General features: G+C 31.6%; 1 protein-coding gene across 13 annotated transcripts in view; it reads left to right on the top strand.

Moving 5' to 3' along the window:
• The window catches only part of EPHA5 (EPH receptor A5), a 350,923-nt gene that overhangs the window by 284,425 nt on the left and 43,093 nt on the right, over positions 1-23,405 (top strand). For 7 of the 13 annotated variants that reach the window (NM_001437320.1, NM_001437313.1, XM_011531735.4 and 4 more), the window contains 4 exons: positions 9,002-9,067; positions 18,641-18,708; positions 20,008-20,133; positions 20,863-21,048. In NM_001437320.1, coding sequence (NP_001424249.1) covers positions 9,002-9,067; positions 18,641-18,708; positions 20,008-20,133; positions 20,863-21,048 — 446 coding nt within the window. The remainder of the gene's footprint in view (positions 1-9,001; positions 9,068-18,640; positions 18,709-20,007; positions 20,134-20,862; positions 21,049-23,405) is intronic. The other 6 variants (NM_001437321.1, NM_001437319.1, XM_017007878.3 and 3 more) reach the window with 1 other exon arrangement.

Genomic DNA, 23,405 nt, shown 5'->3' with positions numbered 1-23,405 from the left:
TGTGTACGTGGGGATTTAAATTGATATTTTCCAAAGACTTATGTGAGTACTCAGCAGTGGTTTTCACTCTCCTCCAAAAATCTTATAGGTTTCTACATGTAGCATGTACTAAATAAGCAGCTACACGGGTATTATTTTGTCTATGTTGGCTCTGGGCTATGAAAGCCGTTCTATTAATCTGTCTGATTTTTATCAGTATTATACAAATATAAATATTATAATATTAAAATATTTTTCAATGTTTGGTCAGGTAAATTCCTGTTGGAGATCATATATAGTCACAATTACGAATATTTTATAAAGGTACATTTTTGTGAATATAATCACACACATACATTTATACACAATTCAATGTATAAAGCAATTGTAACCATAATTAATCACTGTTATGTATACAATGTATTAAATATTTCACATTTATCACCAGCACAATATTTAATTTTAAATAATTATGGCAACTATTATAATATGTGATTTTAATGCTACTGATCAATACTAATAAAAAACAGAATGTAGTTGCATGGAATTTGAATAGTGTGATATGAAAATGTGACATTTAGCTTCCTCTTAAGTCATTCTAGAGTATGTTCAATTATCATAATATGTTTATCACAAAATACACACATTCCTTGAGTTTTGGTAATTTCAGTATATTGCCGCAATTACTTTTATTATTTGAGAGAGACATAATTAAATGGAAAGCTTAGTCTTTCTGATTTTTCCACCTTAAAAGTTTCATGCTGATAGATGTGATTCAATTTTAGAAAAATACTAGACAGACATAATGGAGGGAGCTAAACAATGTACATATTTGACTTGTTTCTTTTACTTATTTTCTTCTTTTTTTGAACCCACTCATATTTTTAATTGATGTTATTTTTTCATTAAATGAGTATTTAAAACAGTACTTTCAAAGCTGTGTTTATAAACGTTATTTATTTGAGCTGACGAAAACAGCATCACTTATTTGCAACTTTATTTGCTTTCAAATTTTCTCTCCTTTTCTCAAAATAATTTAAAACCTAAAATAGCTGAGCACAAATAGGTTCATCATGATAATCCTACGTTCTTTTCTAAGAGGCCCCCGAGACAGACGTGTTTCAGCTGTGAAATGACTGGGGGAGGAAGAGCTCAGTGGAAGAAGCTTAGCAAATTTAGGCTCCTAGAAATGGAGGTAATTGATGTTTGCTCAGTGTAGGCATCGTTCTGCAGGAGTAAGAAACATGATTCAGTATGTTGTATATCAACACTATTATTATGCTGGAACAGAAATAAGATGGTCGTTGATTGCAAAGATGAATCCATATATTTTCCCTTTATTGAACTAGTAAAGATTATCTCTTCTGTGGAAATAAGCTGAAATCACCCAGCTGAGAACAAACACAGAGTATTTTTTCCACAGCTTACTACAGAAGAGGATCAGCCAACATCACATGCATTTGGTAGAAACCCAAAGGCAGACAGGATAGGGTAATAATGGGGACAAAGAGAAGGCTTCAGTTAGGCCCAGATTTGGAGGTTGTTGGCATATTGAAGCTGGAAATGGGCTACCTAAAATCAGAGCATCCTAGGTGATTTGGCTTCCTTTGTTTGATCCTGAATTGGAAATAGGGACCAAAAATTAGGGAAGTTTGCAGTTATTAGGTTCTAACCATTTGGTCTGATTGCTACAAAGGTTATGGTTTGACTTCTTGGACCAGTTGCTATAGATTGTGAGTATTTGGAACAAATTGAGAAGAAATCAGTGTGAGAATAGAAGATAAAATTATCTCTGCTTAAATGAACACAGAAATATTGATAGAGGAGTGGTAGATTTGAACTACACCTTGAGGGTGAAGATAAATTTTACCAGAGATGGTCGGGAGAGTATGATGGAAAAAGGCGCATGGGTATGAGTGCATATGGCATGCCCAGTTTCCTGTGACTCCTTAGCCCAGACTATTTGGCCTTCCACAGCCTCTCCTGTGTCCCTGCACAACCTCATCTTCTATTCCTTCCTGACTCATTAATGGCAGGAACTTTCTCGTATACAAACCGATTTTTGAAAAATAAGGAAGTTAATTTTTACATGCACATCATACACATGCAAGATTTTCTTTTTAAAAAAATTATATTTTTCCAGAATATGATAGTGTTTAATATTGTTTAGTTTTTATTGTGGCTCCAAATGGGAATATGGCTTACGTGATTCATATCATATATATTTTTTATGTTATGAATCACTGAGAAGGCATTCAAAAATTTTAAAACCACACCTTCCTTCCTACTTCCCCCAACCCCTTTTCTTACTTTTAAACAAATATTAGAAGAAGAGATGTCCAAGTGTCTGAGTCACTGATTTATAATAAGTTGGTAGGAAGATACCATTACTCCTTCAGACTGGCAGATATTATGACCAGGGCATTATTGAAGTCTTCTAAAATAGGATATGCGCTCTAGAGTGAGCTCAATAAAATCCATCATCCCAAAATATCAGAGGGAACTCCACAATAGTCATAGTTCCATGCTGGGTTTTTTTCCCTATAATGTTCTTGCCAAAGATAAAAATAGTGTTTCTTAATATTTCTTTTCTTGCTTTGTTTTTACTGGTAGCAGTGAAAGTGATAATGGTGGTAGCAGTGGTGATTGTGATTTTGTTCTTCAAGAAATACAGGAAAGATTTTTAGGAGTGAACATAACTCTTTCTAACCTGTTATTGTTGCCACTAATATCATGTCCAGGCCTTTCATAATTATTGGAAATATTAATTGGGAGAGCAAAGGAGAAACCACATCTGACTTTAATTTTCTTAATGGAATTGGACCTGATTAATGTATATGTGTGTGTGTGTGTGTGTGTGTGTGTATATCATATATGCATCATGATGTATATATGATACATATATACCATATATATGATATATATACATCATTATTGAAGTCTTCTTCATATCATATATCTGATATATATGTTTTTAATACTTTTTATGCATAAGATTTTTACATATAAAATTTGTACATAATTTACATATATATAATGTATATATAAATTATATGTTTAATTATATATAATCTCTCTCTATATATACATACTTACCAAAGAACATATTATTTATAAGCACCTCCAGGCACTTTTGAAGTTTCTGCTTACATGCAGGCCATTAATATGCTAATTACAAGCCTTTCCCTTGTATTCATTAAGTAAATTCCCAAAGAACTATTATAATACACATCAGTTCAATACAATACGTGTTTATTGAGTATCTCTTGGATCAGTGTTTCTCAACCTGGAGAAAATTTAGAATCAACTTACAGATTTTGAAAAATAATGATGTTTGAGTTCCACAATCAAGATGTTCTGATTTAATTATTGTAAAGTAAGGCCTGGACTTTTGTTTTTAAGCTTCCTTGTTGATTCTAATGTGTAGCCAGGTTTGGAACCACTGTGTTACACATGAGTAGAGAACTGTTGTTATGTAATTTCTTCACTATTAAAGAATAGCATATAGATTCTCAGTAAATGTTTACTAATAATGAGAATGACTGTATCTTCTACCGCAGCAAAAAGTTTATGAAAGATGGTTAATATTTGATAAAATTTATTTTGAGTTCAAATATATATTGGAATAAGCAAATTGTATCTAACACGTTTAATAACATTTGCTAATTGAATCAATTCCTTTACCTGTGGCATTCGTGGAGGAAGAACTTAATGTTTTATAATGATCTCTGGCCCATTAGAGTAATGAAACAAAGTAAAAACAGAGAGTCATTATTGAAGTATAGCTTGAAAAAAAATAATTGAAGTGTTTTCTAAATATGTCTCACCTCAAGTTTTTTTCTGCTTTCATTTAGTTTGATATTTCTAGGTCCTAATAGTTTTTTTTAGAGTAAGAAATAAGGAGAGTGTCTGATTACAGTGTTAATGTGAATTAGTTTTTGTTTGTTTGTGTTTTTGACTTTTTCCTTAAGATGAATGGCCGCACAGGAGACACTTAGATTTGTACAATTTGGGGGATTTTTCAAAGAAATTCATGTTAAGTGCATAATTTATTTAAGGTGCACCTCAGTCATTTATATGATTTAATCTCTATTTAAAACTTGCATTTAAATAATGTGGTAGAGTTTGGGTCATCAAGTATTTTTAAGGTGTTGATATTTTAATGTTGAAGGTGCTTGCCTCTTTGATTCCTAGTGAGGGCTCTCTTACCACCTTGCAGAAGGTTGCCTTCTTGCTGTGTCTTTATATGGAGGGAAGGGACAAGGGAATTCCCTCAAACCTGTTTGATAGAAAACTGACCTCATTCAAGAGGGCTGGGCACTTATGATCTTATCAGCTTCCAAATACCCTACCTCCTAAAATCATCACTTTTGAGGTCAAGACTTCAACATACAAATTTGGCGGAAACACATTTAGTACTATGCAGTTTTGCATCCTGAAATATTTTAAGGAATGTATAAAACTATTAACATTGTAGTGTTAATTACAAGTGAACAATTTATTCAGTGTTATTTGGTTAATATTAGCTATGTGTTTAAATTCTTTTTAATCACTTAAAAACTCATGGCCTTTAATGAAATATATTGCAATAAGTATCATTACTGGATTTGTTTAATTTTTTTTGAAATTATAAAGTACAACTTTTAAAAAATGAAACCAGGGTGAACTAAAAATTTTTCCATAATGCAATGAATGTAACATTTCAGCACAATGTCTCTTACACATTTGACATATGCCTATGCCATCATTTTACTTTTCTTCACACCGATTTTTACCTAATTTTTAAAAATTTAATATTATACCATATTTACATTAATTGCTTCATAGACTCCACATATATACTTTGGTTTACTGAACAAATATTTTATCATTTAGTTGCTTTAAAAGCTATGCTCAGCCTTATGTATATTACAAATAATATACATTATAATAATATAGCTCACTCTTTGCCCTAAGACTGTCTTAATATAGTAATATCACTTAAAAACTTTCTAAGTGCTGACTGTGAGCCCCAAACAGTGCAGAGAGCTTGACATATATGATCAAACTCATTCTTCAAAGCAACCCTGTGTGGTGCAGGTTTTATTATCTCATTTCATCAGTGACTAGATTATCCAAAGCTATGCATCTAGTAATGGATATATTCAAGACTGCTTCTAGTTTGACTACAAACCCCATGATCTAACCATTTTGTGAAACAATAGGGCCAAAGCATGAGAACATTTTATTGCCTTTTGATAGGTTTAGAATTTTGTTTTCTAAAGGATTGGTGCCACTTTTCAGTGTCACTTGCCACACATAAGAACACTAGCTCCATTCTGTTTTCTCTAGCCCTGAATATCATCGTTTGTTGTTAATTTAATTTGAAATAGGAAAATTATGCAGCCTTTTAGTTTTCTTCCTTTGTTACAAGTAAAATAAAAATATTTTCTATGTAATTCAAGTACTTCTTTTGTGAAATTACTCTTCTTGCTTTTTTCTCATTTACCTGTTGACATCTTAGTGTTTTTATTATCCAATTCTATGATCTCTTGTTTAAGAATTTAAGTCATAATTTATCCATAGCCTGCAGTCTTGCTTCTCTGTTCTGGCATCTGAGAATTCCTTCCCTAGATGAATAATCACCTTGCTTCCATAGGAAGGAGGTTATCATACTTACATAGACACACTTCATACCTATATTGATCAACTCTGTGTAAGAGCTGACTAAAGTAATTTTATTTGAATCTTCTTTGGGTCTGAAAAGATTATGCTATCATATTTTAATCTGCTGAAGGACAAATGGAAATATCTTGTTAAAACAAAGATCAACAGTTTTTTATTCTAAGCCAAAAGGAGCTAAGCTATTTTAAACTTGGATTAAAACAATCTTGTTATAGCTGCATGCAGTTATGTACAGTGTTCTAGGTACTAAACACTGATGGGAATACAGATGTAGACTGTGTTGAATCAGAGCTCACAGATAAGATTGCTTGCTATTTCTAGCACATTTTGGTTTCTATTTCTAAATCATCTCTGAGCTTCTAAGCATTAACCTGTACTTATCTGCATATTTATTGGTTGATGGAAAAATATGTTTTTTATACCATCTGATGTCAAGCTGTTACTGTGAAAGCGTCTTCAGAAATTATTTTAAAAGGTTATTAGGGGGCCATTGTTAAACTTCAGATGTTCATAGAAAAGTAACTTGTCTTAGTTTTCTTAATAACATATTAATGCACAGTATTATCTAATCACCAAATCCTTAGAAAACGTATTTCGTGGAAATGATTTTTTAAATTACATTGGCCATTAGGTATTTATATTAGTTAATCTGAATGTAATGTTTATTTAGTTCTATTATGGATAAAAATATTTAGTCTAGTAATGTCATATCAATTATGAAAAATATAAATTACTCTGAGATAATGAGAATCTATTCTGTCACATCGATTATGATAAAATTAAGAGTAATAGCTAACACTTTTCCTCCAAAATACTTGATATGCCAGACACTGATCAAAGTAAAATAGATGTATTCTCTCACTTTATTTTCACAAAACCTATGAGAAAACATCTATTTTTATCACTATTTTATAGCTGTCAACCTAAATAAGAAAGGTTAACCAAATTATCTAAAGCAATTTTTATGTCATCTTAAAACAAATACAATAAAATAGAAGTATAAATATTTAATTTAATATGGTTCTAGGTTTTTAAATCAAATTTTATTGAAATTATAAAGTAGAATTCTAATGATATGTAACTTGGTTTAGATTCTTGGATTTGGTGTTATAGTGAATTCTGTGTGAGTGTGTGTGTGTGTGTGTATGTGCATACTTATTCATAAGACACAAAGCTTATTTTTTAATTAAGATAACTTTATAAAATGTTATTATTTTTAGAATTGTTTATGTGTTTCTTGACACATTTATTTCACTGACCAAGTGTTAGACAAATTCTATGAGATAATAGCCAATCACGATGCAGTTATTGTTTTCCCATGCACAATTCTATATGAATTTATAAACTGTGCACACTTTCAACTAGAAGTATATTTGTGTTTTGTTAGGAAATGACATCTTTTTTTCCTCATTAACAAACAATTGGATACATTTGTTAACAACCAGTAATTGTTCATTTTTTTGTTGGGTTGAAACTGCTGTTTGAAATGAACCCATATCTGCAGGCTTTCTACATTAGTAGATATCAGTAAATTGAGGTAATTTTATTGTTAGTTAATACCAATTATGGTAAAACATTGACTGCTTACAAGTGTCAATCATTGTGTTTAAACCATGCAAAAAAATAAAAAAGAAAGAAAGAAAGAAAACAAGCAAACAAGAGCAGTCATTCTCATCTCAGAAAACTAGCAGTCTAACAAAGGAGGGCAAACGGTTTTTAAAGGGCCAGATATTTGATTTAGGCTTTATAAGACATACATTCTCTGCCCCAACTCCTCAACTCTGCCACAGCAGCACTAAAGAAGCCATAAACAACAAGCAGTGAGTGTTCCAATAAAATTGTAATTACAAAAACAAGTAGTGAACTGGATTTGGCCCTTGCTCTGTAGTTTGCCAACCCCTAATCTGAGTGCTGCAACGAGGCAGAAGTGGTAGGAAAGTTAACTTATATAAAATTTTAGTAATTGTTGGAGACATTAATGCAACAGGTGTTACTGTAAAGGAGTATATCAAGATCTGCCAAAATACTTTACAGATGTATTAACTACTCTTTGATTGTTTTAATAATCTGATATACTGTAACTCTGACTCTCAATATCTCTACAGTGAAAATAATGATTTGGCATATTCTTTAAAATATAATAAATAGACAAATTGGAAATAAATGTTACGTAGCAATTTTTATTAGAATTTCATTTTAGTGACAGCAGTCAAATCCTCAGACATTTAGTAGTACTACAAATTAAAATATTGTCAGTGCTACAAAAGAAAATATATAAAAATTGTCTACTTTTTCTTTGAAAAGATCCATTGGAATTTTATTTGGAAATAATCATCTATCTTCATTAGTGTTTGCAAATTTATTGGAAGTTTATGTTTTGTTTACTTTTTTTGATATAAAAAAGAATAGATACATTTCTAGAAATGAAAGTTCAAAACAGATTTTAAATGAAAGCCTGGACCTGCTGGTATATCCTATCTCTACTGAGCTCACATTATAGTTCTGTTGAGATCACTGTGAATGCTACTCATTTAAAAAATACATAGAATTGAATGCATTGAAGCACTAAATAACTTATGTCTTTTATTCTGCCACCAGTTTACATGTTTTCTATCAATAAAGTGCATTTTATAAAATAGTTTACTTTGTATTTCCTGGATTTATTACTATGAATATGTGGACAAATTAAAAGAATCTTGAGTGTTGCAATATCTGGAAAAATGCATGTATTCTGTATAGTTTGCTTTTTTATATAGCAACTGCTCTGAAAATATATATTTGGAGATACTGTTTTTAAATCTGGAAATGTAAAATTAAATTGGTAGGCTTCAATAAATGATCTGGGGAGTTATGTATGCCTAACATTTTCAATAGGCTATGATAAGTAATACCACAGGCATAAGAAATTGGTGGGTCACATGAGAAAGTCTTTATACTCTTTCCAAGGTTGTAGGCTATGTGCAAAACATGTATTTAAAGGGCTATTTAGGATTTCTTCTGATGTAAATTTTGAGGGAATTTCTGAGGAGAGATATATTAGAATGGGCTTACATCTTTATTTATATGTCTATATGAATTGCATACAATTAATTCGAATATATTGGCTCATGACATTTCCTACTGGATAACCACTTTAAGCAAAATAAAAATAACAATTTACTACAACTCTATATTTCTTAAATCCATAAAATGCTTCTTAATTTGAAAGGCACTGTGGAAAAAAATTAATTGTATGCATTTAGAGGTTTTTGATTTTGAAAAGGAAAGCAGACACCTGAGTAAATTCATAGTGTCTTTATGCTATATTTGAGGGAGTGGGATCTCTTCCTTATCTTGGGCTCTCTTGTTTGCTTTTCAGTTGCTGCGAATGTGGCTGTGGGAGGGCTTCTTCCCTGTGCGCTGTTGCCCATCCAAGCCTAATATGGTTAGTGTTCCCTCCCACTTTCACTCCTATGTGATGTCCACCTATATGTATTACCGTCGGCATTCCTTTTCTTTCTCCATTTGTGTACATTTGAGTAGAATAAAACTGGCTCCCCAAGGTGAATCCTAACAAGTGATTTCACAATGGATTATTTCAAATAAATATTATACATATGGCACATCATCCCTATGTCAAGCATTCATACGTCTCTTCTGAGGCTTTTACTGTGGTCCTGATTTAAACTAGGGAGTTACGAGATTATAGTTATATGTTCTAACTTTAACATGTCACCATTTTTGTTGTTCCATGAAGTAAAAATCATGTCACACGTGGAAGTAGAATGCTACTTCTGTCAAGGCAAAATCACCTTTTCTGTTTCCCAAAACCATGGAATGACCACAATATAACTTGGATCTTCTATTGTCATATCATTGTGAATACACGTGGCACTGGAAAACAAAGCCACATGTAATTTCAAATGGTTTACCTAATTTCATTAAGCTTGAATTATGACAGATATCAGAAGTGATATTCTCACTTTGATGCCAATGAAGTAGAAAATATGCACATTTTTCAGTCAGTGCCCAAATGGCATACTCTTAATTATTTATAAATACAAATCCTAAATATACATCTGGGGTTACGATTATTCACAGATGTATTGGAACTCCTACACAATGGGAGCTACTTTGTGAAAAGTGAAATACTCCAGATAATTTCTTCCTAGACTCAATAGCCTAAATCCTTGCACTATTGTACCCAGTGTCATTTGTAGTCAGAATTTGCCAAGAAAAGATTTCTAATGCATGTTAGAGGACTATAGAGTTTCCTAGGGGCTTTTTAAATTGTTAGATGTATTCTCTAGGTGTAAAGTAATTTTTGTTGCTTAAAAAATTATGTGTGAATGAGTGTATACAGATGTGCAAATGGGAGAAGTTGTGGAATGGATGCCAATGATCTGAGAAGAAGAGAGAGTGAACAAACACAGGATGATGTAATTTAGAAATATTTTGTCAATTTCTTAAAAATTTTGAATTTGGAGAAAGTTTTAAAGTTTAATATGAAGGTAAAGATTTGTTCCAAATAACTTACATGGGAAATTCTTATGAGCATGGGGCTTCAGTGTCAAACTAAATACAAACTAAAATCTGGTAAAAGCTATAGTATAAAGTTTGGCTTTACAGTGTGTGTGTGTGTGTGTGTGTGTGTGTATGTGTGTGTGTTTCTGTGCTATGAAAAACTAAAAATGGTCATTGAATTGTCTATTCTACTTTAGTGTCAATTATAGTTTTTAACATAGATAAATTATCTCTGAAGCAGAATAAGCAGAATCTACAACTTAGAAAAGAACATTGATATTGATGCCTTACCTTGAACTACATCTCAAAAATGCTTCAATGGAAGTGTGAACATTTATGAGTCTATGGCTTTGAAAGTATTGGAAAAGGCTAGCTTTGGCCAGATTGAAATTCTTGATTTAAAAAGATAGTATCTTTTTCTACTGTACTTTTGGCTTCAGGTGGTTTATAAAACGAATAGAATAAAAGAAGGAAAATAGAAGGGCAGAATTCTTATTTTATAAAGAACACACCAGTAAACTGAAGATGACAATATCTTTCTTCCAATAATGTTAGAAATTGTGAAGGCAATGAGTTTGTTTGTATATGTGCATGTGTATTTGCCTGTGTGTGTGTTTGTGAAAAAAAAATAAAAAAGATTTAGCCACAAATGCATTTAGGCACTCAGTAAAATGCTACCAGTCTTCATGGAAAGACCCCCTGGAAAAGCTGGAAATATTAAAAAATATATTCTTGGTAAAATAAAACAAATTAAAGCCAAAGAAACAAACTTTAACTGAGCTTATATAAACAATAAAAAAGTTCTCCAAAATTTTTACTGGGTAGGAATCAGGACTAAAAATGCTTTATTGCTATATTTTGTGAAGTTTCATTTTATAATTTCAAATTACTACAAATTTTCTATTAAGGATGACATTTGTTTAGATTAAAGCATTAGGAAGAAAATAATCTTATTAATAAATATTAAGAGCTGAGAAGAATCATTTATCTAGGAGAGTCAGTAAAATACTAAGAAATCTGAAATCCCGTCATCTAATTTTGCATGTCTCATCATACCAGCATTTCCAATCACCATGTCAATAATTTTCAAAAACATTCTATCATCATCATTTGTGAAGAGACACATTTACAGTTTTAGAACAGAAATTTGTAGACATTCTTAATCTTAGAATTCCATTGTTTTTCGTGTCTTGAAAGATCACTCATGAATATATATGTGGTTAGTTTTGACCTTAATATAATATGATACATATACATTAAAACTGGCCATTGTAAATGCATTAACTCTTAGAAATACCCTGAGATAACTTGTGGAAATTTAGCGTTCCGAAGAACGTTGTTTCAAAACCGTTCATCTAGATTCTTGGCTCAGCAATTCCAATGTGCTGACACTTTTGCAAGGCTCTGCGATTCTAATTTTTGATCTTTCATGTTTCCCACCAGGAAACCACATCCATCAGTTTAAAAATACATGGTGTGCCATTTATAAGATGATATTTGTAATTACATGTTGCCTTTTTAAATCCTTTTATCTCAAATTATTTTCATCAGTATAGTTGCCTGCTTGCTTTGTTGTGACATTCATAAACATAATGTTAATATTCCAAATGTTCTCCCTGCTTTGACTGAAATCTACCCAGTGATAAAAGCTATTTCTGTACTATTTCTGAATGAAACTCAGACGCCTAAAGTTTAAGCACCATATCCCCAAGGCTGCCCACATTTTTAGCAAAGGTATTGTTTAAGTTGCCGTTGCCTTTATTGTCATCTCAACCAACTTAACGTTCTAATCATAGTTTTACTTCTCAAAAAGACAATCTATTTTTACAAACAACCAATTTTGAATTGATGGTTTTAATGTAATAATGTCTCTACTTTCTAATGTTACCCTTTATCCTCAAATATTCATCTGTGTTTGTGCTTACAGAAACCAATGTATATTTATAGCATAATACTTATTATAAATCCATCTAAAATATCCCTTAGTCCCAAAGTAGCCATTTCTTGCATTTCTTAAATTCAAATTAGTCAGATTATTTTCTTCATTCATTAGGTTTCATGCTTTTCAGTGTCTTCATATTATTTACTCCATCCTCTGAGGGATTTAAATGGCAAGGGAAAAGCAGTCACTATTTTGAAAATAGAGATGTTAAATTCTTATTTTATGCATTTACCTATTATGTGATCTGTAGATAATAAACTTCATTTTTAAAGACTTTTTTAATTTCAAAAATATTTTAAATCAGAGACATAATAAATGAAGTCTAGTGTATCTCATAATTCAGACATACAATGCAGAAATTAAAAACAAAATCCGAACAAAACAAATTTCTCTGGCCAAAGGATCAGGATGTCTTTGAAACATTAACTATTATCCTAATTTTTAAATATATTTTCCTTTCTCTATATTAATTCTGTTTCTTGAAATGTGAAATGAGAAGATTTTTATTTTCATACACACTTTACATTAATTATTTTATTCATCTTTATAAGATATCTGCCGGGGGGAGTGTGGAAGTACTCTTCCCTTTTATACAGCACGAAAGTGGCATAAAGAATAAAGCCATCCCTTTGTAATAATTCTAGAACTCCATTTAAAGTGCTTTGTGGTAGGCAGATGGGGGTGTTGTTTGACATGTATATAGAGTATATTAAATTTCAATGGAAGGCTTGCTAAGCAAAATATAATCACGAACTGCTCCAAACTATCTATTTTTAAAAATAACTATGAAGCTTCAGACTACAGGAGATATTAACTGGGCCTCCTCAGATTGAGAAATCCAATAGTGGCATCCATGAAACAGTTAAAAATTAATAGGAAGTTACGTACTCTAGCATTAGAATAAAACTTTTAAAAAACAGGGAGAATTAATTTTCATAGGTCACACTTTATTAAAGATAGTGTTATATCAAAATTCTGTCAATTACAATTGAATTCAACAGAGAAAATAGTGTATAATTTATCTTTGCATATTTTGAAGAATTTGAAATTGTTCAGGTTTTCCTATTATAGCTATTCTAAAAGGATTTGAAGAATTTATTAGTAAGAGATTTGCCATTTCATGTGTATAATATTTTGGGAGATTTATTCTAAGAGTTTTAAAATTCTTTGTTTTATAGAATATGAAGATACAAAGTGATATATAAAACATCAAGTAAGATATAATTTAGCTTCTCACATGGCATTAATCATAGGGTTGTTAGCACCCTTGATCAAATGTGAGATAAGAACTCAGAAAATTGTTTTCTCATTTTGTGTGGTATAATCTTACATCATTCCCATATTCAATGAAGTACGTTTTTCTAAATAACTAAATTCCTCTTAATCAGTATATCTGAAAATATTTAGTAAGTAAAAATAGATTAGTTGCCCTTTTTGTCTAACTTAAATCTATCTATGAAGAACCCAAAATGCAAATATTCTGGTATTATAAATGAGGAAAATATAAATGACTCACACAGTTTTGCTAGCAAGACTGCCTAAATATCCAATGCCCCATTTTAGTACTATTCATGTGCATTCTTATTGAAGAATACTGGCTCATAAAACAAAATTTAATCAATGTTCAGTTTTTATTAGATATGTTAATAACTTAATGTTCATATGCTTATTTATTTTATGAGGATAAGTTAGCTGAGCTTTTGTTAATCCTATCTTTGTCTAGTTGGAGAAAATCCCGAAGTGAAAAATTCAAAGTACTTTCTAAAAAACAGTATTATTCCTTTCAAGTTTCCAGCAGTATATAAAATTCTTTATATACTGTCATTTATATACAACATTATGCAATGGTTGAGGTCCTTGTTATGTCAGAACACGTGAGTGTGCATATGTGAAGAAATGTGGCTTTAAACGAGGCTAAATTAAGAGTGTTTATTTTTTCTCATCTCATATAGATATTAATGTTCACTGTAATTTGTTGCTTTTTGAATATTTTTGCTTCAATATATAGGAAAAGCGTCTCTTAATCAATCTGGAAAATAGAGAAACAATACAGGAGTATCCATTTCTGAGCTAGACACTGCATATGCTCACTCTTTTGAGTAAATTAAGTGCAAAACCACTTCTTCCCCTATTGTGATCCACTGTACGTTATTTAGATTAAGGTGAAAAAAATTATTTAGGGTATATTTCTATAGACTAAAGCAATGGAAAGATCTGATAGTATGGAGGCTATTGTTTTGCAAGGATTTACACTCTGTTTTGGCTATTCTATTCACTTACCTTTCCTCATTGGTCACAAGAGTGCCATTTATAAAGTACTGCTTGTGTACATTACTTGGTACTCTGAAATTCTTGACATTCATATCCCAAATTCATTATCAAGTCCCAAATTTATACTCAAGAACTAAGTTATTCGTTGGCTGTCCATCTCTACATAAATATTTTTTATTTCATGTATTATGAAATTCTTAAATATCCAAATTTGTTATTATAACTGCAACCAAATTTTTAAGATCAGCATTAATAGTATCAGAAATGTATTATCCAAATCCTTAGAAAAAGCATGGGAGAAAATGGGTTGATTTCTAAATAAGCCATAAGGTCATTGGTATATTTATATATCTAGCATCTCTCTCTAGGACTTTTAAATAAATATTAATTAATGAATATGAGTTATGCCTATGAATAATTTCTCCTGCCCATCTCTATTACTAAAGAGCAAAAGCACATTGTTTTCCAAAAGGACATGAGTATAAATGATTAGAGGATGTGATTCCTCTAAATACAGACACTACAGATGTTTTTAGTAAAATAATTTCAAAGTTCATTAAAATCGTGATATGAAACAAAATTTAAAAAAATAGTTTATTTTCCATTCAGAAAAAAAAGACATCATTTCCAGAAAATGAGAGGCAAAATTTACATACAGAATGACATATTTATTGACTGTTTTTCTGATTGGTTAAAATTATGCATCTGGAGCAGGTACAGAACATGATACTGAATGAACAGGCTTCCTGAAATGCTTTTTCAGTGAGACTGAATGCTGCCTGAGTACCAGTCTCTGCTAGCTGCACTTTTACTTGCTGTTTCTTGTTGAGGCTTGTTTTAATGATGCTTCGGGAGGTTCCAGAACTTAATTCCATACGTTAATGTGATATGCAGCCGTATATGTTATGGAGCTCCAGAGATGCCCATAGTCAAAAATAACTCCTTTCAATTGCCCTCCTGACTCTCACCCTAGGTAATGCAATGTTAACTGCTCCTCACCAAGGTATTTCCAAGTCATTTTCTTATGAGATCCAAAGTTTTGTTTTCATTTTCATACCAGGAAATTTCATGTAATTTAAATATCCGTGAGGCTTATTTAATGATAAAGGCTATTTGAGGATACAATTTTGAAAGCGTATTATTTATTTTTTTGAAGGTGGGAGAGTTGAAGGTGGATGAATAGATGTTTGTTTTCTAACGTAAATTGTGAGAACATGTATAGCTTTCAGGTCTCTGTAGAATTCGTCTAACAAAGTTGTTTTTGTCAGTATTATTTAAATAACATAAATCTCTGGATAATTTTACACAATTGTATTTAGAATATTATTAAAGAGAAACATTAATAACTGTTCTCTCTAGAGGCACATATATTAAAGGCTAAAAGAATAATTTTATATCTAGCAAAATTATGAGCAATGTATTAAAATAACTTAAAACTTAGCTTGAAAGACAAAATACAATTTCAGTATGGTTTAATGTATTTGTTTCTTCCCTCCTTTTCATTTTGGTGAGGTGATTTAAGATGTCTTAAGGACCCTGGAATGACATATGTATCTAAGTGTTATGAATAAAATTTGAAGCCATGAGATCCCTGTTGTGTATTTTTCCTCACCCAAGAACATTATATGTGTTAGGAATATTACTTCAAGTTTACTGAAAATTTACTAGTGTTACTTTACTAATACATTGCCAGTTTCTTAATATGATAAAGATAACTGTATTTTGTTGTTGTTGTTGTTGAGATGGAGTCTAGCTCTGTGGCCGAGGCTGGAGTGCAGTGGCAAGATCTTGGCTCACTGCAACCTCCGGCTCCTGGATTCAAGCGATTCTTCTGCCTCAGCCTCCCAAGCAGCTGGGATTACAGGTGCCTGCCACCATGCCTAGCTAATTTTTGTATTTTTAGTAGATACTGGGTTTCACTGTGTTGGCCAGGCTGGTTTCAAACTCCTGACCTCGTGGATCTGCCCACCTCAGATTCCCAAAGTGCTGGGATTACAAGCGTGAGCCACCACGCCCAGCCAGATAACTGTATTTTTTCCAAAAATGATGAAAGATGGATTGGGTTGGCCATTTTTGTAATATATATGTAGTTACACATTGTAAAATGACAACAAAATATATTCCCTTAATATCAAAATATACATATATTTTAAATATATCCTAGAATATGTAATGAAAAGTCTCTGTTAGTACATGTGTAATAGAAACTTCATTTACGTCACACGGTAGTTCTCAACCAATTTTGTAATGAAAATATTTTATCAGTCTGTCATTTGGCTGTCTTTTCTTAATGCATAAATCAATGGAAATTTTGTTTTTAGTAAACTGAATTTTGTGCTGAGAGCTTATGAATAGTAAAATCACTTCTTTAGAGTTTCACTAAAAATAATTTAAATATTTTCATTTTAGCCAGTTGTTTAATGTTGTACACTTAATCATCAATTCAGTGTTCATTCAGCACATTCCCTCTCCAAACACCTGTCATTGTGTAGACATAATCAAAACATCTTTCTCTCATTCATTTATTCATTCATCAATGTGACGAATATTTTTAGTGCCAACTCTGAGTCAGGTGCCAGGTCACTGCAAGGATTTATAGATGAATAAAATTTGTTGCCATTCAATAAGCTAAAAAGCAGTAAGGAAGCCAACAAGCGCACTCAAATGACTATGCTGCAGCATAGACTAGAAATCACATGAGGGGATGCAGAAAGCTACTGTGCTCCAAAGGGAAAATACTACATTAAGTTTAAGTATTGGGAAAAACGTGAAGAAGGAAAAAATGGAACTGAACTTTGACAGTTGGAAATTGTTAGGAAGAAAATCCTCAGTGAAGGAACCAATATGTGCAAACCTATGGAAGCATGGAGAAATATCCTGGAGATTTCAGGAGAAAATTTAGTACATGTGAAGATGAACAGTTGGAGTTGATGCAGGAAATGTGTGTTAGGGCTACATTTAGGAATCTTTATATTATTATTTCATTAAATATTTTGCAGTAGATAGGTAATGCAATAGAAAAGCATCTTATATACTGTAATTTGGCTATAGCCATGTCTAGTAGAGTTTAGGAAAGGAGTTACAGAGTGGAGGAGCATCATTTTGAAGGCACTTATAGTAATGTGGAGGAAAAATGTTAAGGACTTAATTGAGGAAATGTTAGAGTTAATGAAAAGAAAGAGATGGGTCGTAGTTCCTGGGATTTGGCACTAGTTTGTTGTGAAGGACACAAGAATAAGTCTTTGCTTTTAAGGGACCAAGGCCATACTGGAGTTATTAACAGGAAAAGAAGGCAGACTATGGTTGAAAGAAGTAAAGAAAAATGCACTGATTTCATTTTCAGGTCCATTGAGTTTGAATGTTGGTGGAATACCCCTATAAAATAAATCTACCAGGAATAAGAACATAACTCTCAAAATAAATTAAACCAGTGAGATAGAAGTATTAATTAAACGGATAGAAATAGATGGATTGAGAGGAGAGAACCAGAGAGGTTCACGTGGAGGACCTATGAAAATGTCCATACATCAATGTGGAGAAGAGCAAAAAGCATCAGAAAAGTAGTGAGGGATTTCAATCCATCAAGAATAATGAAAAACTAAGATTGTATTTAGAGGTTAAGATGTCATTTGTGAATCTTAGGAGGACAGATTTTTTTTCCTAGTAATAAGAGAAATTTGCAAAAACTTGCAAATTTGTGGATTATTGAGAAAACGAAGAGAGACAAAGGTTTGAAAAGTGAAGCTGAGAGGCTTTGCAAGTTGTGGTGAATTTCATAGTTTTCTGGGTGGATGTGAGTGGAAAACAGCCAGTGGAGCAACTGAGGATTCCAAAACAGTAGAGAGAAAAACAAAAATCAAAAATCTATTGTGCAGGGTGATGAAGGCAAGAAACTATTAGATCAGACACACATTTTTGGGCAGTTCATTCAGAAAGAGGCAGTGGCTTTTGAACTGCCAAAAAATAAAAATAAAATAAAGTAAAAGAGGAAAAGAGAACAACAATGTCTGGTATACAGTATTTGGTGAGGGGAAGTTTAAAAACAGGTTTGGATGGCTTCAGGCTCCTCAGTGAAATCTGGGCAAGATTATTTGCTGAGTGAGAAACACTGGTTAGGGACATAGGTCTCATCCAAACTACTAGTATTGGCATCATTCCAAACTACTAGTATGAAAATCAGTTTAGGGTTGCAATAATTTCAGTTGTGCTTCATGCTTCTGGGCTTGATGTGACTGATTCACCACTTTCAGATGTGGCTAATTCTAGCTTACTTTGTTCCAGGCGGTGTGGCTACAGCAAAGCAAAACAAGATCCAGAAGAGGAAAAGATGCATTTTCATAATGGGCACAGTAAGCAAATTGTAAAAAATAAAAATAGAATAAAATAGGGGACACTTTATTGTTATTTAAGTTTCTTTTCAGGCTACAAGATTTATAATAACTGACCAAAATATTGTTTTTTTTTTTTTTAAAAGTGTTCTATTTGTTACATTCCTGTAAAGAATACGGGCTTGGGTATTTCTGGAAGGCTTTAGGCAATAGCTGAATGCTTTATTCAATTATTTAAATAATACTTTTGTTATAATCAAAATAAAAACTTTTTGCTTAATATAAAGAACTATTATATTTCAAATAAAATTTCCTGGAATATTCTAATTCCTAGCAACACAATGAGTAGAAATCTATCAATAAGTAGCATCACCAGGTTAAATAAATAAAATTTCTCAGGTTTTTTTTTTCTTCTAGCTTTTAGTGGGAATTTACCTGAACAGGTCCTGTGGCAGCAATCTTGGTTCAAATGACTTAAAAAGACCTTGCTTTAAAAAATAATGCAGAAAATCATGTTTTAATAAAGAATTTGAACAACTAGCCTAAATGAGTTGAATTTTGATATTTTATTATTTTTCCTTAAATGGTGCAATGTGAATTGATTTGCCAAGTGAGTGACAAATATATTTGTTTTTTTCACTCCGCCATCTTAAATGTCAAAATCATTAAAGCCATAACTCATGCTGCAAAGCATTGAGTTCATTTCCTAATCGTATCTTATTTAATATTATTTATTCCCAAAAAACTTGATGAGGCAGTGTTAGTAGCCGTTAAATGTGATAAAACTGAAACTCACAGAGCGTAAGTCTTGTCTAATGTCATGCAGTGACAGAAGTACAGTGAGAAGCAGAATACTTTCTTTTGACTTATATGTCAGCCTTTTTGCACCATAGCACCAGAAAAGTTACTTGAAATCATTTTGCATAAAATTAAAATTAATACTAATGGGATTATATCGAATATCATCCATATGAAATATAGAATAATAAACCAGCAAATTAAGCACTAGTATTGCATTGTCCAGTTCGGTGAATAACATTGTCTTAATTTGCCTTGGAGACTTTCTAAGTATTATGATTGAGAGGTGTATTTTCTCAGATATGTCATCACATATGCATTTCTTGTGCCTGCAAACAGATTTCTGAAATTATAAAACTGATATAGTTGTACAAACAACTGTAACTCAGGAGAGGGCTGGTCCTTGCAGTTTGAATACTTCCAGGAATTAGAGATTTAAGCCATACTTGCATGTTAATAAAGTTCATAATTTTGCTCATCCATCACAACTACTTCTGTTTTAATGCCAATTTATATTTACAGTTAAACTGCCAGGAGTAAGAACTTACATTGATCCACATACCTATGAGGATCCCAATCAAGCTGTCCACGAATTTGCTAAGGAGATAGAAGCATCATGTATCACCATTGAGAGAGTTATTGGAGCAGGTACGACAATGTGTTTGACTTTCATTTTTAACTTTTGTTTGCATTCCAGAATGTAATATACCAGTGTCCTGATGTAACAGAGAATGTTTTTAATCTTTTCTAATTGGCTTGCATTCAAAGTGATATGTAACTGATCACATTTTAATACAACCTTCAGTGTAACTCAAGCTTAAACCAGCAAATATCTGGTTTATAAAATTTAAAAACAGCAAAAAATATATTTTAAATAGATAATGTTTCACTATATATATATATATATATATATATATATATATATATATAGTGAATTTGTAATACCCAAAAGTATTTATGTAATTCAGTTCATATCTGCCTTAAAATTGTTTCCTTTTTTTCTAGCTATAACCTGGTTGGCTTTTCTCTTCTTATTACTACTACGGTAGACAGAAAAAGAAGAAAAAGTGATTTTTCATTAGTTACTTTTAATTTCATTCTTTTTTAAAAGGTTTTTGTAAGTGAGATAGAGGAAGTTAATAGCCCCTATAGTGTTTTATGATCCTCTGTTATGATTTGTTCCAATGTACTATTTATTTTCATTACTATCAATAATGTAGTGTAGACTACCCTTTTCTGACTGCTTTTTGTTTGTTTGTTTGTTTGTTTGTTTGTTTGTTTTTTCATCTAAGCCTTAGTAGTCTAAGAGGGCATACAAGTGTTAATAGACTAACAATTTCAAATGAGTTTTTGCATTTTTTTCATCTTTATCACAAGGTGAATTTGGTGAAGTTTGTAGTGGACGTTTGAAACTACCAGGAAAAAGAGAATTACCTGTGGCTATCAAAACCCTTAAAGTAGGCTATACTGAAAAGCAACGCAGAGATTTCCTAGGTGAAGCAAGTATCATGGGACAGTTTGATCATCCTAACATCATCCATTTAGAAGGTGTGGTGACCAAAAGTAAGTATGATGGCAAATTATACATGTGTGTGCATATCCTCAATATCTGTCTAGATTATTATTAATTTAGGGTAAAGAGAAACCAAGATTGTAATATATTAATTTCTCTAATATTAATGTTTATCCTGTATTTTAGTAGATTTTTGTTAAAGCTAATCTTCAATGAACTTGAATTTTCATCTATCTTTTAAAATATATATTTTAACCCATTTGCTATGAATTCAATGTCAGACAAAAATGTATCCAGATAAAAGAAGCAGTAAATATATCAACTTTTTTTTTAACTATTGGCTCTTTTACTTTTTATCCTAATGAAATATTAACTTCAAAGTTTTGATTGAAGCATTGAAGTTTAACATTCAATAGGATTACTATAACCATAGCAATGCCACCTTTTAAGCAGTTCTTTATGGCCAGGTTCATTTTGTTTATTCATTTTTTAAAGATATGTTAATAGTTCAAGGGAAAGCAACAATCACAGAAGACAGGAAAAGTTCCTTTTAATGAATTTTTGTTGTTGTGAAAGCAAATCTAGTTTTTCTTTCTCAAAAATATCTAGAATTTTACATCTCTTTTAATTTGTGTTAATGTTTTGTAAATGTGTTAGCATGGTGAGCCTTGCAATACAAGGATTTTAAATCATTTTCAGTCAACAAGTAATGTATTTTTGTGGCACATAGCTGAGGCCTTCATTTTCTTTGTATTCATTGTTTCTTTACTGTTTCTATGTGTTCTGATTCCTTCCTTTATTCCTTACACCACACACATAAGTTACCGAAATCCATATCTTAAAGAGATATACATCTCCAGGAAGCATGCTCAGAGAGGAATGTAGGAAAAGAATAAAATAAACTACATACGTGGGTTTCTTCAAATCTTAGATGTGTTTCTTCCTCCAGTTGAGTATATACCCACACATTATTCTTTACTTGATAGCAACCCAGACACGGCATTTCTGGAGCAAGAAGGCAATCCTGAGGTCTTATTAGAAAAGTGTAAATTGCTAAAGAAAGGCAAGAGGCAGGATCAAGAGGCAGGCAGAGGAAACAGCATTTTTTTAATGGAATAAAACAAAAATATTTTATAATGAGGATATTCTTTAATGGATGTGTGGAAATATGTGAAATAACAATATAATATAAAAATATGGTCACAGATGCAATAAAATAAAATCAGAATTTGAACGTGGCTGTATTCTATCTGAGGGGAAGGACCTTGAAAGAACGTCTGTGATAGCAAGTGTCGATAGATACCGTAGAAGCAAGAATGATAACAACAAAAATTCAGTAAAATTATTTGCTATGCAGAAATGGTATTATCTAATATAAAACATAGTTCTTAATGATGGTACCAGTAATAATAGTAAGCAAATATTTGATAATTTCTGTCTCCATCACCTTATTCACATGGCTACCAAATTCAACTTTCTGAAAATAAACTCTCACTATGACATCCCGTTACCCCAGGGTAAATGCAAACTCCATAGGCAGCCAATCTACCCTTCATAATGAGTTAAGATGTAATATTTAGAACAATGCCAGATTACTGTTATTATCATGGAAGACCACGTTACATAATAGTCAAGAACATGGACTCTGCATCTAGTGATGCAATTGAATTTTAATTTGAATATAAACAATTATGTGGTTTTGCACATCATAAACATTTAGAACCTTAGTTTCCACATTAATGCTATGGGGTGAGAATACCTTATAGCATTATTGTGAAGATGACACTAATTAATATAGATGAGGTTTAGAATGGGCAAGGCACAAAGTAAGTACTTATTTAGTACATAGTTACTACTTCTCCACTTATCTTTCTTCCTATGCTCTGAACTTCTCCATATCCATTCTATGCTTAGTCCATTTTAAAGTACCTTATATTTTGCCCTGCCTTCATTGCCTCTTTCTCTGAAATGTACACCCTCATGTTCACTACTTTTTCAACTTCACTGAAACCTTATTCAAAGTCTACCAACTCTGTGAAACAATCCCTTCCACTTTGTCCTGAAGTAATTTCTTCTTTTGAACACTATGCGTACATGACAATTTTTGAAGTCTAAAACGTTTCTTCATTTGGTTCAAAAGTCTTATTTAAATCTCACTTAATTTTGTCTCTTTTGCTTATATTTTTCAGCTCTCTAGCTAAAAAATGTATGTTCCTTGAAGACAAAGATCGTATCCTAAATATTTATGTAAACATATTATATTTTACAGACCTTTATTACAAAACTTGTTTATTTGAACAGATCCTGATTGAGATAACTTAAGACAACTTCTTGTAATAATACAAACAGATTTCTCATATATTGTATATGCATTTTTTAGGAGCTAGTGTCAATATTAACAAATGAC

Source organism: Homo sapiens, chromosome 4 (genome assembly GCF_000001405.40).
Source record: "Homo sapiens chromosome 4, GRCh38.p14 Primary Assembly".
NCBI lineage: Eukaryota > Metazoa > Chordata > Mammalia > Primates > Hominidae > Homo > Homo sapiens.
Note: the sequence above shows the minus strand (reverse complement) of the source record. Positions and strands in the feature narration are given on the sequence as shown.